The sequence below is a fragment of the Homo sapiens genome, chromosome 7, assembly GCF_000001405.40.
Source record: "Homo sapiens chromosome 7, GRCh38.p14 Primary Assembly".
Lineage (NCBI taxonomy): Eukaryota > Metazoa > Chordata > Mammalia > Primates > Hominidae > Homo > Homo sapiens.
Window position 1 is genome coordinate 43,550,699 of NC_000007.14, and position 16,062 is coordinate 43,566,760.

General features: G+C 42.6%; 1 protein-coding gene across 19 annotated transcripts in view, besides 1 other annotated feature; it reads left to right on the forward strand.

The window, feature by feature from the left end:
* HECW1 (HECT, C2 and WW domain containing E3 ubiquitin protein ligase 1) overlaps positions 1-15,303 on the forward strand; it is a 453,355-nt gene extending 438,052 nt beyond the window's left edge. For all 19 annotated transcript variants that reach the window (NM_015052.5, XM_017011883.3, NM_001287059.2 and 16 more), the window contains 3 exons: positions 1,524-1,638; positions 3,894-4,092; positions 11,117-15,303. In NM_015052.5, coding sequence (NP_055867.3) covers positions 1,524-1,638; positions 3,894-4,092; positions 11,117-11,228 — 426 coding nt within the window. In that variant the 3' untranslated portion in view covers positions 11,229-15,303. The remainder of the gene's footprint in view (positions 1-1,523; positions 1,639-3,893; positions 4,093-11,116) is intronic.
* Positions 3,374-4,573: an enhancer, noted in NCBI's record as "MED14-independent group 3 enhancer chr7:43593671-43594870 (GRCh37/hg19 assembly coordinates)". NCBI's record gives its function as "activates an origin of replication core promoter dependent on BRD2, BRD4, P300/CBP and CDK7 cofactors, and independent of MED14, by STARR-seq in HCT116 cells {active_cell/tissue: HCT116}" and the evidence as "EXISTENCE:reporter gene assay evidence [ECO:0000049][PMID:35650434]".
* Positions 15,304-16,062: the final 759 nt, after the last annotated feature.

The following is a 16,062-nucleotide window of genomic DNA, read 5'->3' on the forward strand; positions in this document are numbered from 1 at the left end:
AGAGGGAGAGCCAAGGTGGGCAGTGGGCTCAGCGAGTGCTCCTCACCAGGGAGTACTGAGGATCTTCTTGTGGTGGAGGGCTGAGGGGTCAGAGTTCTCTGGGAAACTCAACTCTTATGGGTGAAAAATGCTTTCAAGCAACTGGCATGTGACCCTGGCGTGCCAGACGTGAAAACATCTAGCATCTCTTGTCACAATATATGCAGCTGGTGTTTCCTTTCAGTCAATGAAACAAAAATAAGTGAAGTGAAGACATTGGGGGGTATTGTCCACTGTCACTAGAATTTTATTTTGTTATAGCATCATGTTGTGCCACGTAATCTATGCTGAGTGGTAAATGAGGAAGACAGGGAGGGCCGCTAGACATCCTATGATGTCCTTGAACTCCAGTTTAAAAACCAGAGGCTATAAACGTTTTCTCAGGTCTTGGGTCGTGGAAGGCTCTCCTTCCCTGCCAGAATGGAGAAGTGCACTGGCCATGGTCTTGTCCACCACTGGTTTGATTAAAGGAGGTACCACCACAGGACCTCAGTTGTGCCTGGGTACACTTGGCACAAGATGCAAAGTCAGAATGCAGAACCCTAACAAAACAAGTCTTCCCAGATCTCTAAGGAGGGAGGAAGGAAGTGAGAGAAGAAGAGAAGGAAAAGACAAATTTCCACCCAGCTAGCTCAGTCCAGTGAGCATGAGGCTTTTAATCTTAGGGTCATGGTTTGAGAAGGGATGGAAAATACAGTCGTTTTAATACAAATGCTCAATTTTAGGAAATAAGTCATAATTGCATGTGAAAGGTTACATTTTAAGTGAAATAGTAATACTAATAGCTATTAAATAAGTCCTTCAAAGTGATGTGGACTCTTGGCCTTTAAAATCCAATATTATTTGAAAACTTCAATGTGACTTAAGAAAGTCGAGTCAGATTTGTTTACAGAATCATTCTGAGAGGGAGCATTAGGAGTGGAGCATGCGATTCTTTTTTCTGTTCCCCGCTCATGAAGGCTTGTGTTCTAAAATATTTAAGTCAATGATCATCGTTCAAGCTGCTATAACAAAATACTGTGAGGTGGGTGGCTTGCAGCAACAGACATTTTTTTCTCACAGTTTTGGAGGCTAGGAAGTCCAAGATCAAGGTACTAGCAGATTTGGTGTCTGGTAAGGGGCCACCTTCTGGTTCATAGATGGTACCTTCTCCCTGTGTCTTCATGTGGAGGAAGGGACACGGGGTCTGTCTTGGGCGTGTTTAATAAAAGCATGAAGCTCTCATATCTAAGCACCCCCCCAAAGGCCCCACCTCCTAATACGATCCCCTCAGGGGTGAAGATTTCAACATATGAATTTGGGGAAGGAAAAGGATATAAACATTCAGATCATAGCAATAATTTTCAAGTTAAAAATGATTACAGACTCAAAAAAAGTATTGCCAGTGATGGTCAATTTCCCAGTTTAACCCACATAAATATAATAATGAACATAGCCTTTCCATGTGTTTGGACCTGGATGCTGAAGCCTAACCTGCATTTCAGGTTGTAGACTCGAGGCTGGTGTCCGTGTTTGATGCCAGGGAGCTGGAGCTGGTGATAGCTGGCACCGCGGAAATCGACCTAAATGACTGGCGGAATAACACTGAGTACCGGGGAGGTGAGTGGGCAGGAGCTGTAATGATGCAATGATCACAAATAGAACTCAGCACTTTCCAAAAGATTGTTTTGTTGAGGTGAAATTGATGTAAAATAAAATTGACTAAAGCGAACAAGTCAGTGGCATTTAGTACATTCACAGTTTTGTGCAACCATTGCCTCTAGCTACTTCCAGAATATTTTCATCACCCCAAAAGGAAACCCTGTACCCATGAAGCAGTTGCTCTCACTCTCACGCCCCTTTCCCCCAACCCCTGGCAACCATCAATCTGCCTTCTGTCTCAATGGATTTGCCTATTCTGGATATGCCATATAAATAGAATCATACAAAATGTAGTCTTTCGTGTCTGGCTTCTTTGACTTAGCCTACTGTTTTGAGGTTCATCCATGTTGTATGTAGCATGTTTCAGTATTTTATTCCTTTTTATAGCCAAATAACATTCCATTGCATGTATATATAACTCATCACTTTTTGAAGACTACAAAAAGCTTGGCCTTACTTCAGTACAAAGCAGGAGCTTGTACATGCCTTTCTCCAACTCCCAACCTGAACTTTCCTTCAGGTGACATCGTCCTCATATTGGTCGAGTCTCTGGCTTAACTCGATGTAGAGGCTTGCAGAGAACATTCCATCCAGGACCCAGCTCCTGAGCAGTGTGCATGGCTCCAGGGAAGGGTGTCTCATTTCCTACAGAATTGGAGCCCTCTCTGCCTCAATCCTGGTTTGCCACAACACGGTTCTAACCGTGGCCTTCACCAAAGCTAATGTCTAACCCTTCCTAAATACTCACCTTGCACACTGCCAGACCTGTCTTCCTGAAACATTGTTTTCATCAGGCCACTTCCCTACCCACAAAACAAGTTCCTTATTACTTATAGATTTGAAGGGTTTTGTTAGCCTCACAACTCTTCATTTACAATATCACAGAGAAATCCCATCAATACAGTAGAGAGTGAGCTGGGGGCATCGCCTCAGCCTCCCTCATGTCCCCAGTACACTCAGCCCCGCAATGCCTCTTATAGTATAAAATCGGTATAGAATGAAAACCGCTGTCTGCCTAGCTGGGCATGGTGACTCATGCCTGTAATCCCAGCACTTTGGAAGACCAAGGCAGACAGATTGCTTGAACTCATAAGTTCGAGACCAGCCTGGTGAAACCCTGCCTCTAAAAAAAATACAAAAATTAGCCAGGTGTGGTGGCACATGCCTGTAGTCCCAGCTACTCAAAAGGCTGAGATAGAAGGATCCCTTGAACCCGGGAGGCAGAGGTTGCAGTGAGCCAAGATCATGCCACTGCACTCCAGCCTGGGCAACAGAGCGAGATTCTGTCTCAAAAAAAAAAAAAAAAAAAAGTCTCTGCCTGGCTGTTAAGGCCCCATAACACCCCCCGGAAATATTCCTTCCTGCCTTCACCAGACACACCTCTACTCTAGTGGCTTACTGTTGCCTGCATATTTCCTCCTCTTTCTTGTTATTCTTTATTTTTCCTGCCAGGAATGTCCTCCTTCTTCCCTCCACTTGCACAAGCCCTTTGCACGCTGCTCGTAGCTTCACTTCCTTTCTGAAGTTTTCCTTGCTTCTACCTTGGCACACATAGATTTCTCCTCTCTCTGAATGCCTCTTGCATTTGCAGTCAATGGCAAATCGTTTAATTGATATATCCAAGCATGGTCTCCCCAGCTTACTGTGAGAGGGACCCAGTACTTAATCCATGGGCCCAGCATGTATCCATCCAGGGCTGGCCTGAGAGCAGCTGCTCAAGGGGAGAGCCTGGGATCTCCTGTTCACGAAACTGGCTGTTCGCCTCCAGCCTAGACTGGTAAGTCCTAGACTCTCCCGTGGTATGTGGTTGCCAAGAGCTAAGACAGCAAAACAAAGGAAATATGATGCAATATTATATTCATAGGCCCTTTGGTCTCTACCAGGCCCTTCTACTCCTTATCTACACCTATATGAGGCAGGAACATTTTAAGTGGAGTCTCAGTTGTTTAAATAGAAAGCAGACATCTCTGAGAACATCACAGAACATAAAGTCCTTTTATAAAATGACTATTTTCTAAATCTGCTCTTGTTCTAAAACTTGACCTGGTTGCACAAATTGTTTTAGACCTCTCTAAAGGCCATCACAAGAGAAATCAGATCAAAAGCAGCGGTTCCGTTCCTATCATACCTGATGTGTTTGATCTCTCTCTCCCTCCTCACCCCTTCCTCTTTTCTCCACATCCTGTCTTCCTCCCTCCCTTTGCCTCGTGCAGGTTACCACGATGGGCATCTTGTGATCCGCTGGTTCTGGGCTGCGGTGGAGCGCTTCAATAATGAGCAGAGGCTGAGATTACTGCAGTTTGTCACGGGAACATCCAGCGTGCCCTACGAAGGCTTCGCAGCCCTCCGTGGGAGCAATGGGCTTCGGCGCTTCTGCATAGAGAAATGGGGGAAAATTACTTCTCTCCCCAGGTACAGAGCTCCTGCCAGCCTTCGGGGAAACCTGCTGAAGAGGGCAAAGTATACTTTGCTATTTGATTTTGAGTGACCATCCTTTGGGATGGAATTCTTTCCTGTCACCCAAAGTATTGTCATTGGAGTTATTAGGGAAAGGTGAAGGTGAGGTGGCTGTGAGACTTGCACTGAAACTATATTATTCTTAGGGAGGTTTTGATGACTGATGGTATTTGAGCTGTAATATCTTGGTCCATGTGTCAGTTGTGGGATGCTGTCATAGCCCAACTTAATTTAAAGATGAATGTCTGACACAGGAGAGGGCAGAGGCAAGGACATTAATATAAAAATGCTGGAACCTGGAAGTAACCTCTCGAGCATCGTTATCTGTACTTCTGCAGCGTATCACTTGATACTTCATAGGATCATTATATATTTGTGGTGTGTCGGATTTTTCCTATCAAGTTTTAGAACATGTGGGGATACATGTATCTCTGGGTCTCTATGGTGACTTCTATTTAGAAAGCACATCTATTGTGGGATAAATGTGGAAAAGGAGACGCTGGGGCTCCAGGCAGTTTTACAGAAGAAATTCCCTGCACTGTGAGTTTTAATCCCAGCACTTCCTGAATCCTTTCTATGCCACTCTGGGTAGTGCATTCCTGATCAGGAAGCACTGAAGAGACAGTTGTGCATAGGCGCTATAGTGAGAAACGCTGCTGCAACAGACAGAAGAAAAGATTGACCCCTATTATCTTTTGCTAATAGGATACGTTCGAATTATAAAGAAGCTTTGCATTTAACTCAGCTCTATTTCTACATGGCCACCCAAATACCTTTGCTAAATCCTTATTGCAGAAGGATTTACTGGACTATAGCTTTCACCTAGGTTTCCCAGATTTTCCCCGAGGACAATTCACCTGGTGTCGGTCAGCATTCATGGGCATGCCCAGCTGGTTAACCACAGCTGAACACCCTGGTGCAGGCTTCAGCCCTGGCTTCACCCACTCAGTTCAGCAGACCCTCAGTTCCAAGGGTCTTTGTTGTTTGCATGGCTCTACCAATAGCTAAACCTAGTGAATGTAAGTCTGGCAAGAAAAGAAGACTAAAAAGGCAGAATTTGCATTTGTTAAGTTGAATGATGATTTCAAGAATATAGTTATTTGGAAACATCTTGCTTTTATTTTAGAGAAATGCAGCTTGAGTCATCACTGATGATAGCATGCAGCTTGAGGAGGGGCTGAGCTACAACCACACACCTGCCCGTGGGAACCTGCAATCTAGGGAGAACACGGCCTGATAGTAACTAATCACAGCACAAGGTAGAATCAGAGGAGCACAGGGGGTAAGAGCAGCGTGCTGCGAGAGTGTGAAACAGAGCCTCCTAATCAAGTTGCCTAGAGAACATGCCACTAAAAAACTGGCATTTAGGGGAGGATTGGGAGGCAAGGAATAGGGAGAAGGGGGCTTCCAGGCTGAAGCAATAACACAAGCAAGGGCTGAGAGCGGGGAATGGCAGCACGTGTTCAGGAAGGTGCAGCTGGCCAGTGCAGAGGGTAAGATGCCCGGAGCAACATCACAGGGGATGCAGTTGAGAAAGAGTTTGGTGAGCCACAAACAAAAGACCCTGCTGTCTGGGCGCAGTGGCTCACGCCTGTAATCCTAGCACTGTGGGAGGCTAAGGCAGGCGGATAGCTTGCGCCCAAGAGTTCAAGACCAACCTGGGCAACAGGACAAGACCTCGTCTCTACAAAAAATTTAAAAAATTAGCTGGGCATGGTGGCATGCACCGGTAGTCCCAGCTATTTGGGAAGCTGAGGCAGGAGGATGACTTGAGCCCAGGAGGCTGAGGCTGCAGTGAACTGTGATTGCACCACCACACTCCAGGCTGGGCAACAGAGTGAGACCTTGTCTCAAATTAAATTAAAAAAAAAAAAGAAAGAAAAAAGAAAAGACCGTGCTGAGGAGTCTCTATTCTTTAGGAAATGAGAGTCATTGCTTCTGTTATCTGGGGTCACAGATTGAATGTAATTTCCATATTTGCTTTGGAAGCTTTGAAATACACATTAATATTATTAACCCACACAGAGAGCTTCTAAGGCAGACATTGGGCTTATGAACACGTTCTTCATATCTGAACCAAGGCACCCCTAAGAGGGCTGCTGCACCACAAGCCCCCGAGATGGTTTCTTGGGGAAGTAGGGACCTCTTCTTGGGACAAGAAGCAAATGCCTCTAAGAGGACACTGAAAATAACTCCCTGAATAGTGACCCCTGTCCAATCTCCTTTGGACAATGTCTGAAGATCAAAGAACCTAAAAAAATGTCATCTATGTGTGGATAGAAAGAAAGAACCTCTGACTTCCAGAAACTGTCGTTCGGGAAGACCTGACCTGACTATGGCAGGTGACAGGAAGCCCTGAGCAGGCAGGAAGCAAAGCAGACCCAGGGTGGCATGGGCTTCCCAGGTACTGTGAGCCACAGTGCATGTGGCCTGCACTCTGGGAGAGGCAGCCTTCAGCTCTTTCCTCAAGTCCTTCCTCTGCAGAAAGGAAAGGCAACTGGCTTCCCAGATGAGAGCGCCAGACACCGCCACAGCAAAACCCGGTCATAGCCCAGGCTACATAAAACCTTTGTGTCAGTCCAAGCCCCTGCCTGCTAAAAGATGTGTGAGGGCCAGGAGAAAGGACTTTGAGGGTAGAGGCTTCTGGGATATAATTTCATAGTTGAAGTAGATGAGAGGCAGGACTGTCACTGGAGTTGAGGTCAAGGAACTGGGGGCTTGGGTGTTCACCCTGTCAGCCATGTGGACTTAGTTGCCACACAGTCTGGTAGGAGGACTTGAAGTGGAAAAGAAGACTTCAGCAAAGTGCCAGATAATAGTCATAATAAGTTAGAAGTTCAGAGGGTCAGAAGGAACCAAAGATCTATCTGGATCACTGATTTTCAAGCTTCTTAAACCATAGTCCACAGAAAGAAATGCCTTTTATATCACAACTCAGGACATGCACATGTACTCATTTGCACATATGTGTGTGTATATCTGAAACTCAAGTTCCTCAAAACAGCACTTTACCCTTATTATCTGCAATAAAATCTATTTTCTGCTCTATCCTATTTCATTAAAATGAAATGCCAGCCAAAACCTATGGTTTTAAAAATAAATTATCTAAATGACATGAGATTCAAAGGAATGGAAACTGATCAAGGATTGCAAAAGTCATGACGTGGAATTGACAGCAGGGAGTGTGAAGAATGTCCATCCACGTCACAGCGTGTGGGGCAGTGAGCAATTTCCACCCATGAGAACTGGAGATGGGACACTAGGACCCGGAGGCAGCATCTGGAAAGAGCTTAAGGAGGTGGCAAAGTTTCTTTACTTTGAACAAGAGCTCAAAGGAGGACAGAGGAAAGGCTCAGAAGGAAAGAGAAGGGCAGAAGCTAGGTCAGAGTCGAAGTAGCACTGGGCAGTGTGGAGATAGAATAAAGGAGAGGGGAGAATCTTTGGGTTTACCTTTGGGGCAGGGACCAGGGATATCAAAGCTATGAGTCATGAGCAATTAACTGGCCTAAAAGTTGCAAACGAAATTCTAATATGAACATGTTTCACTGCAGATGTAAACTAAGCCCAGACCCAGGGTGGAGTTGGAGGCCTGGTTAAGTTAGTAGTTGGTTTACTCTGTAGCAGTGATTCTCAAAGTGGGGCTGGGGAAGGCGACTTTGCCCCTCTTCCCCCGCAAGAGGCAGTTGACAATGTCTGGAGACATTTTTGGTTGAGGGGAAGGGGTGCTACTGGTGTCCATTGAGTAGAAGCCAAGGATGCTGCTAAACATCTCACAATGCACAAAACAGCTCCCACAACAAAGAGTTATCAAGTTTGAAAAGTGAATCGTGTCAAGCTGAGAAATGCTGCTCTCTAGTACCTAAGGCCAGAAGAGGACCTACAAAGGAGGCCTGAGGGTGCCATCAGGGAGCTCAGCAGAGAAAATGGCAGCCATTGAGAAACCAAGGAGAAGCCAAGGAGGGAGATGTTCCAGAGGAAGAGCTGTCAAATGCTTTTAAAGAGCTGGAGCAGGTGGAGCGGTATGGGCTTCTGGATTTAGGGATCAAGAGGTTATTGGCAAACTTGAAAAAGAGTAAATTTAGAAGGAAAGAGAGCAAGGCCTATCTGAAGAGAACAAGGCTGTAGTTAGGCAGTGGAAGAAGATTGGCATGAAGGGAAGACACAACTTACATAACCGGCTGAACAATTGGCAGCAAAGAGGAGTGACTGCTGCCACTTTTGTGTGTTTCTAGACAACCTTAAAGTGGTCTCTAGTAGAGAGGAGCAAGACTTTCTTTGGCCCTGTGTTGGTTAACATTTCAATCTATAACTTGGAAAAATAGAGGAGACGGGGAGATCAACTGTGTAGATGACACAGTTAGAAGGATAAACAATACAGGGATTGGCACAACCCAATCCAAAATTATCTCAAAATGCTGGAACCCTAGCTTGACACCAATGGCATGGAATTCGACACAACTTAAAGACCCGTGCAGATCTCCAAAACATCCATCGCACCAAGTGTGAGAAGAGAGTGAGTCACCTGCCAGTAGGTCACGTGCAAAACTCCAGAGGCTTCAGTTGCCACAAGTATGACACGGTTCCCCAAATCATTATCACAATCATGGTTGCATTATTAAGAGAATCTTATGTTTAAATGATGATTCACAGGTTACAAAACGCATTTATGTGTGTTCTGGCGTTGATCCTCCCCATAACCCTTTGAGGTGCACGCAGCATATATTATTATCCCCACTTTACAAGTGAGAAAACTGAGGCTCAGGAAGATTAATTGACTTTTCCAGTGTCATAAAGCTGGTAAGTGACTAGACCGGGGTCAGCATAGAAGTCTTCCAAGCCCTGGTTTCTTGCTGTCCACTGCCCCACACCACCGGGCAATGCTTGGTTTGGTGCACGGGAATGAGGTAAGCAGGCACTCGGTGCTGTCAGAACCACACCTGGAGGGTGGTGAGCTCTTAGGAATGCTGAATTGGATCATGATTTGATTGTGTTCGTTCATTCTAGATGACAAACTAAGGGAGTTCACCAAGGCTCTAAATAAATGCAATAAAAGCAACTAGTAAGTAAACCATGAGTGTTCAGACTAGGTGCTATTCGTCAATGCTTTCTGTTTACTCCCAGAAATGATCTTTTACAGAATTAATTTGGTTCCAACTAATTTGTAAAGGTGATTTTTTTTCTGTAATATTTCCACTCATGAGTGCCAGTTAAAATGACCAGAGGAAGAAAACTATGAAGATGATGCCTGCTCCTATCTCGCCCCTGGCTAATTCAGCTAGTTCCAAAAGCATGCTTGGGATTTTTCACCCCACTTCGCCTGTTTAGCCATAGCCCAATGTATGTTCTAGTTTCATTGCAATCTTTTTAACATAGAGAGAAATCACTGTAACCATCCTACTCAATTTACTGAGTTCCCTTTCACTCAAATATTTACATCTAGGTAAAGTATTTCAATTATTTTCTTTTAAAGTAAAGGAAGGCCTGTTTGAATCTTAGATAATAATTTAAGAATTCTGCCAATCTGTATTCGTATGTTTCTTCCCAGTTATGTCTTTAAGGCCTAAGACCAGACACTCTACTGCCCTGTGCCTGCCTTTGGAGCTTGAGCGGGGAAAGGGACAGGGAGGAGGGAGGTAGGGGTTAGGGATAGTTCCCCAAGGACTGCCAGGAGGAGGAATGGGTGCTGGGCAGATGAAAACACCAGCATCCTCCCTAGATTCTCGATGGGCAGGAAACCCCACCTTCCCTCTTTCCTCTTCCCATCTTCCTTATTCCCAAAATAATCTCCCCCCGTAACCTGAGTGCTGCATCAGCCTGGGCAGTGATCTGATACTCTGATTTATATACTTTAAAACAAAGGTGTAAATAATACACAAGTCCCCTAGGGATCTTGTAATGAAAAGAAGAGTTTAATATCCCAAATAAAACTCTAATGAAGAGTTTAGTTTTGTTTGTTTCTTTGTATGTTTGTTTTGTGATTTGATTTTATTTGATTTGGTTTGATTTTAGAGTGCCCTTTTCTGTGCTGGTTGGTGTCTGAAAACACCATTTCAACACACCACCCTTAGGGAGGAAAAGGCAGGAAATGAACTTTCACCTGCACCCATCCACCTTTCTCTCTACTACGGTACAGGACTCGGCATCAGCCAAAGTTTCTGTAAAAACAAAGAACTTCTGGCAGGGAGCAGCTAGTCAGGTGATTCAAGGCTCCACAGCAGGGAATCTATGTGTGCTGGGCTTCTTGTACCCACTGCTGGAGAGCCACATGAGTCTTCCAGGTCCAGGTGTTAGCCTCTGGCGAGGAAGACATTCCTTGTCTAAGGCAGACACTGGCCATGCAGGAGGAAGCACATGAAGCAAGCTAGAACCCCGGGCGCCAGGACACTCCAGGCATCCAGAGAGGACTGGCTCACACGGGCAGCTTTTCTTGGAAATGCAGCACTTCGACTTTAGGTTCTGTGGGTTCTACTGGGGTAGAGGAGTCAGACTTGTCTCCAGAGCACACTTGACTTGAATGGAGAACTGGATCTCAGAATTCCAGGCCATCTCAGGTTCCTCTAAATAGATGCATGTGGTTCACAGAGGCTCAGAAATCAGAGCTGGGCAAGAAGACTTAGGAATATAATCCTTCAATACTAATTATATTTCTGCCTCCTTCATTGACCACATCAAAATTTGTAACTCATTTGCAAATCAGGCTGATACCATAGAGTTTATAATCAGTTTGCTAGTGTCATTCTAGTGTAGTTGGTTTGCTTGCAAATGCAAACAACCCATTTTTAGTTATTCCATTCCTTCCACCAGTCTATTCATTCTAGAGGAATGTGGCTCTTTAGTGTGCAATGTTTTATGGTGGTCCTAAATCATGGTCCTGCTCACTTTTGATTCCTTTTTGAATCACAACTTCAGACAGTCACAGATCCAGAACCAGTTGTATCATTGAAACAAACACTCTCACCAATCTCTTCTCCCCATTCAGGGCACACACATGCTTCAACCGACTGGATCTTCCACCGTATCCCTCGTACTCCATGTTGTATGAAAAGCTGTTAACAGCAGTAGAGGAAACCAGCACCTTTGGACTTGAGTGAGGACATGGAACCTCGCCTGACATTTTCCTGGCCAGTGACATCACCCTTCCTGGGATGATCCCCTTTTCCCTTTCCCTTAATCAACTCTCCTTTGATTTTGGTATTCCATGATTTTTATTTTCAAACCAAATCAGGATTGACAAAAGCTGTGCATGAAGAACTGCCTTCTTCTAAGATCTAACCTTCAGGCTTCTCTCCTCTGTTTTCAATGAACTGCTAGCCTGTATGCAATATTAAAAAACAGCTGTCTCAAGGTCTGTGTATATCTCCACATACCTCCATTACTAACAATGAAATATGAATGCAAGTTAAGCTACACTTGACCAAATGGTAATAAATGTTTACTTCCATTTCTATCATTGAAGGGAAAATGTGAGCATTAAGCACTCCAGGCTTTCATATGCCCATGTCTTCTGAGCAGAGCCACCATTTTTTATAATTTCTAATAACCAACTCCAGAACTAGGAGCTGATCAACTCTTTGTTTTCCTCTCCATCTACTTTTCCCTGTGCATAATATCCATCCAAAGGACAACAGTGGCAAAGCTGAAATTTTTATACATTCAACTCATGATTCACATGTGGCATCAGTCCCATCAGCCGGAACTAGCCTAGACATACGGTGCAAATATGACACTTCTAACGATTAACAACAGCAAGAAAACACCTGCTGCTGATGCAATGCAATGCATCCCAATGGTTGTGGGGATTGTGGGCTCAACTCAAGAGAAGTTTAGGAGGGGGAGCATCCCTAGTGAATACTCACACCACAAGAAGGACAAACTTGTGCACATGTCCAAGAAAGAAAGCTTCTTGATTGAGGTAGCATGAAGGATGAGGCTTCAGCCCCCATTGTCTTATGTAGAATGTGGCAATGCCAACTGGAGAAAGGGAAGAAGGACATATTACCTTGGTTTGAATCCCTGAGTTCTGTACTGTTCTGTTTTGTTTAGTCTAGCCACAGTTCTTCACAAAGGAAAAAAAAATGTGTAGATGATACCATGACTTTTGTTAAAGCCATGACTTTTGTTTGCTTGGCAGACAAACCCTTTTTTTAAAACTTTGATATTTTTTTTTCACATTTTTTTTTCCTTTTCCTTTCTTAATCATGGAGTTCAAGTTCCTTTGCATTCGATTGTCCATCGGGACCACACTAGGAAGCTGCAGAGAGTGATGGTGCTTGTTAGGGATCAAGGGCAACATAGTACTTCTCCTTCACCCATAGTAATCCTCCTGGGGCAGAAACATAACACCCCAAAGGCACGTTGATTTGTATCAAAATAAATATCCAGTTTCTTTTAGCATTCAGTGAAAACATATCTCAGAAAACTTCATGTTGTCAGAAAAACAGCTGCAGGCTCCAAAGACAGCCTAACCTCTCAACTACATTTGAAATAAACCCAACCATAATGGTCATTTGCTATTTTTCTAACGTTGTTATCCATGTTGCCTGAAATAGGTCATAAATGAAAGTGTTTTTCTTCACTGGGAAAAAGAAGAGCTCAAGAGACCCCACTATTTAAATGTCATTTAATTGTTTTCCATATTAAAACAAGGGAGAAATGTAAGACGAAGTGAATTTCATATGAAGCCAATGGCTCATTATACCAGTTTGTGTCTGGACAGTGTGTTATTTGTGTTCCTACACTCTAAAGCATTCCGGCCAGGAGCGGTGGCTCATGCCTGTAATCCCAGCACTTTGGGAGGCCGAGGTGGGGAGATCGCTTGAGGTCAGGAGTTCAAGACAAGCCTGGCCAACATGGTGAAACCCCATCTCTACTAAAAATACAAAAATTAGCCGGGCGTGATGGCACATGCCGGTAGTCCCAGCTACTTGGGAGGCTGAGGAAGGAGAATCGCTCAAACCTGAGAAGCAGAGGTTGCAGTGAGCCAAGACTGTGCCACTGCACTCCAGCCTGGATGATCAAGGGAGACACCATCTAAAAAAAAAATAAATAAAAATAAAAGCATTTTTTTAGTAGGAATTATCTACAATGCCCAGCACCCCTTGCAGCGATGTGTCCGTTGTCAATCAAGGAGTATACATTATAGAAATTTAGACTTTTATTGTCTAAAAAGAATATTTACTGAGACAGGATGGAATCTGTAAGTTATATGATATAGAATTTGAGGGATATGTAAAATTCAGTACACGTTCAGCATCTGAAAAATAATGGATTCCAATGGAGCTATTGTTTTATTTATGAAATCAGAGCATAAGGACTATGCAAATCATTGAACCATAACCTTATTCTAACTCTTGCAACAACATCTCTAATATAGGGGCATCTTTTATCTTTAGAACTTGGTGTTATATATATGTAAATACTCATTAATTCAAGCACTCTCTTTCTAGTACTCACATTATTTGTCAGGCATTGGAAAAGGAGAAAGCTGTTTACAAGATGGACCAGCTCCTGGAGAGCTTTGCAATTTATATAAATTACTAATTAATCTATTAATTAGATTAATTAATATCTAATCTACCCATATACAAAAGGAATGCAGTATCTCAGAAATTATATATAGATAGGTAACTTTGGCATACATGATTTTTCAACTACCGTTTCCTTATCCACCAGTACTACTGATGTCACAGCTATAGATCTATCCCACAAAGCATAACAGGAACATTCTTTCACAAAAGTGCAAAATTTCATGAAGAAATGCTGATGTCACGGTCACCTGAAAGAAGATGAAGCTTGTAATATTTTATTGCAACCTTGCATAGAATCCTTAAGGAAGAAAAACAAAGAGAAGAGGAACACAGAAACAAGTTATGGAAATTCATGTTTACCTTATTTATAAGGCTGATTTTTAAATTATATATAATTTTTCATTCAATATGTATATGAAATGAAATAGCTATAGAACTAAATTTCACTTAGGTGGAGGTATAAACCACCTTAAATTATATAGTTCGGCAGAAAGACAGATCTATTTGTTACCACCTGTAATTTTTTTTTAAGCATGAGTTTTCTCCATGGAGGCAAATTGCAAAATTAATCACTTATAAATTTATAAGCCACAATCTCCCTAAAACAATTGATTTTAGTAAGAGTGTAACGCCTTTAATCAGGGGACAAACAAGAACAATAAATAAGAGAAGATTTATGTTACAACTTTGAAAAATGCTTTTAAAATTCTATAAAGTGTTATAATAATTTCATGGATATCACAAATGTTTTATTCTACAGTGTGAAGATGATAATCCTAAAAATGGAAATTGATTCTGTGAGGTCAGGAGAAGTATTCTAAATCTACTGAACTCTTTGTAATTTCCTATGTATATAAATGAGTGGAGGTTGTGAAGATGCCGAGAGAGTGGTGAAAAAATTAAGAAAAAGAGACATATGATTTGGGGGAGCAGGCGTTAAACATGCAAGATCTAAATTTTCTTTTAATACATGACCATATGTCCTTGAACAGTAAGTATATTTGTGTGGCAAGCCAATGGCTGAGTTTTCCAGGGTAGTTTTAATATTACATCCATCATATTTTCAGTCCATGTGTCAAACCATGTGTCCAAAATTTGGGTTCGGAAATTTCTCAGTTGCCACAAATATTTTCCCAGTCAAGATGAAACACTTTCAAATGAAAGTAGTTAGAACTTTACATAACAAATGTGGTGCTTTATTATTATTATTATTATTATTTTTATTATTATTATTATTACGTACTTCAGTGTTCATTATTAAAACTACCGCAATACTATATCATAAAAATCTGGGATGGATGTTCCAGCCATCATAAGGTCCAAAAGAAAAGAGAAAGTGTTATTTTCCTGTTAGTGACATGTAGTCCCTTTGTTCTAGTAGGAAAAAAGGTGCCTAGAGGTAGTATATAGAGTAAATATTGTTCCTTTAGCCTACTTCCTGCAGCTTCCAATTTATCCAAGGAAATGTCTACAACAATTTTGTTCAAAAGTCTGTTCTAGTCAATAGCAGGAGAAGTCCACGTTATTGGGCTGATTTTGCTTACATCAGCAAGAGAAATGTCACGTGATACTCAGGCCGCGCTTTCTCTTCCATCACACCATCTTCAAGGAATGTCAATAAACTCACTTTGGTATGGCATTGTGTATGCTCCTTATTGCAAACGGAAGTCTAGGACAACACATAACAATCTGTATCCTGCCTTACTCTCTCGCTGGATGTAAGCAATAAAACAACACAGAAGGTTACCAGCTGCTCTGATTTTTTTAAAGTCCCAAAAAAGCATAATATGTGCTCACATATCCATGAATAGAGAGGAGAGCTTTTGTAACAAGTTCCTTGTGTATGGCTGTAAGAACCCTACACAAACCACACGGGCAGCATTTTTTTTAGTGCCCTTTATGTAAACCAGTTGTGCACTGGTTTATATAAATTCCTAGCTATGGAGATGCTTCTATGAAAGCTTCAGGCTACTGCCTAACACCCAGTGTCATCCCAGGACAACGGTCACCACTAGGCAAACATATTGTGTCCTATGGCTCGTATCACAAACTCCCAAGATGGAAACAGCATGATCTCCTTCCAAGCCTCTAAAAGACAAACCATGTGGCTCTTACTGGGTGGTTGGAAGCTGATTTATTCTTTAAAGAGAAAATATTCTATTATTAGAAAAAAGTGTGGGGAGGACTGGGAGAAGGAAAAACCTGACGGACTGATTTGGAGACAGAGAGTCATCTTGATATGGCATTTTTCTTTTATTATTATTATTATTATTATTATTATTATTATTATTATTATTATTATTTTGAGACAGAGCTTTGCTCTTGTTGGCCAGGCTGGAGTGCAATGGTGCAATCTTGGCTCACTGCAACCTCTGCCTCCCGGGTTCAAGCAATTCTC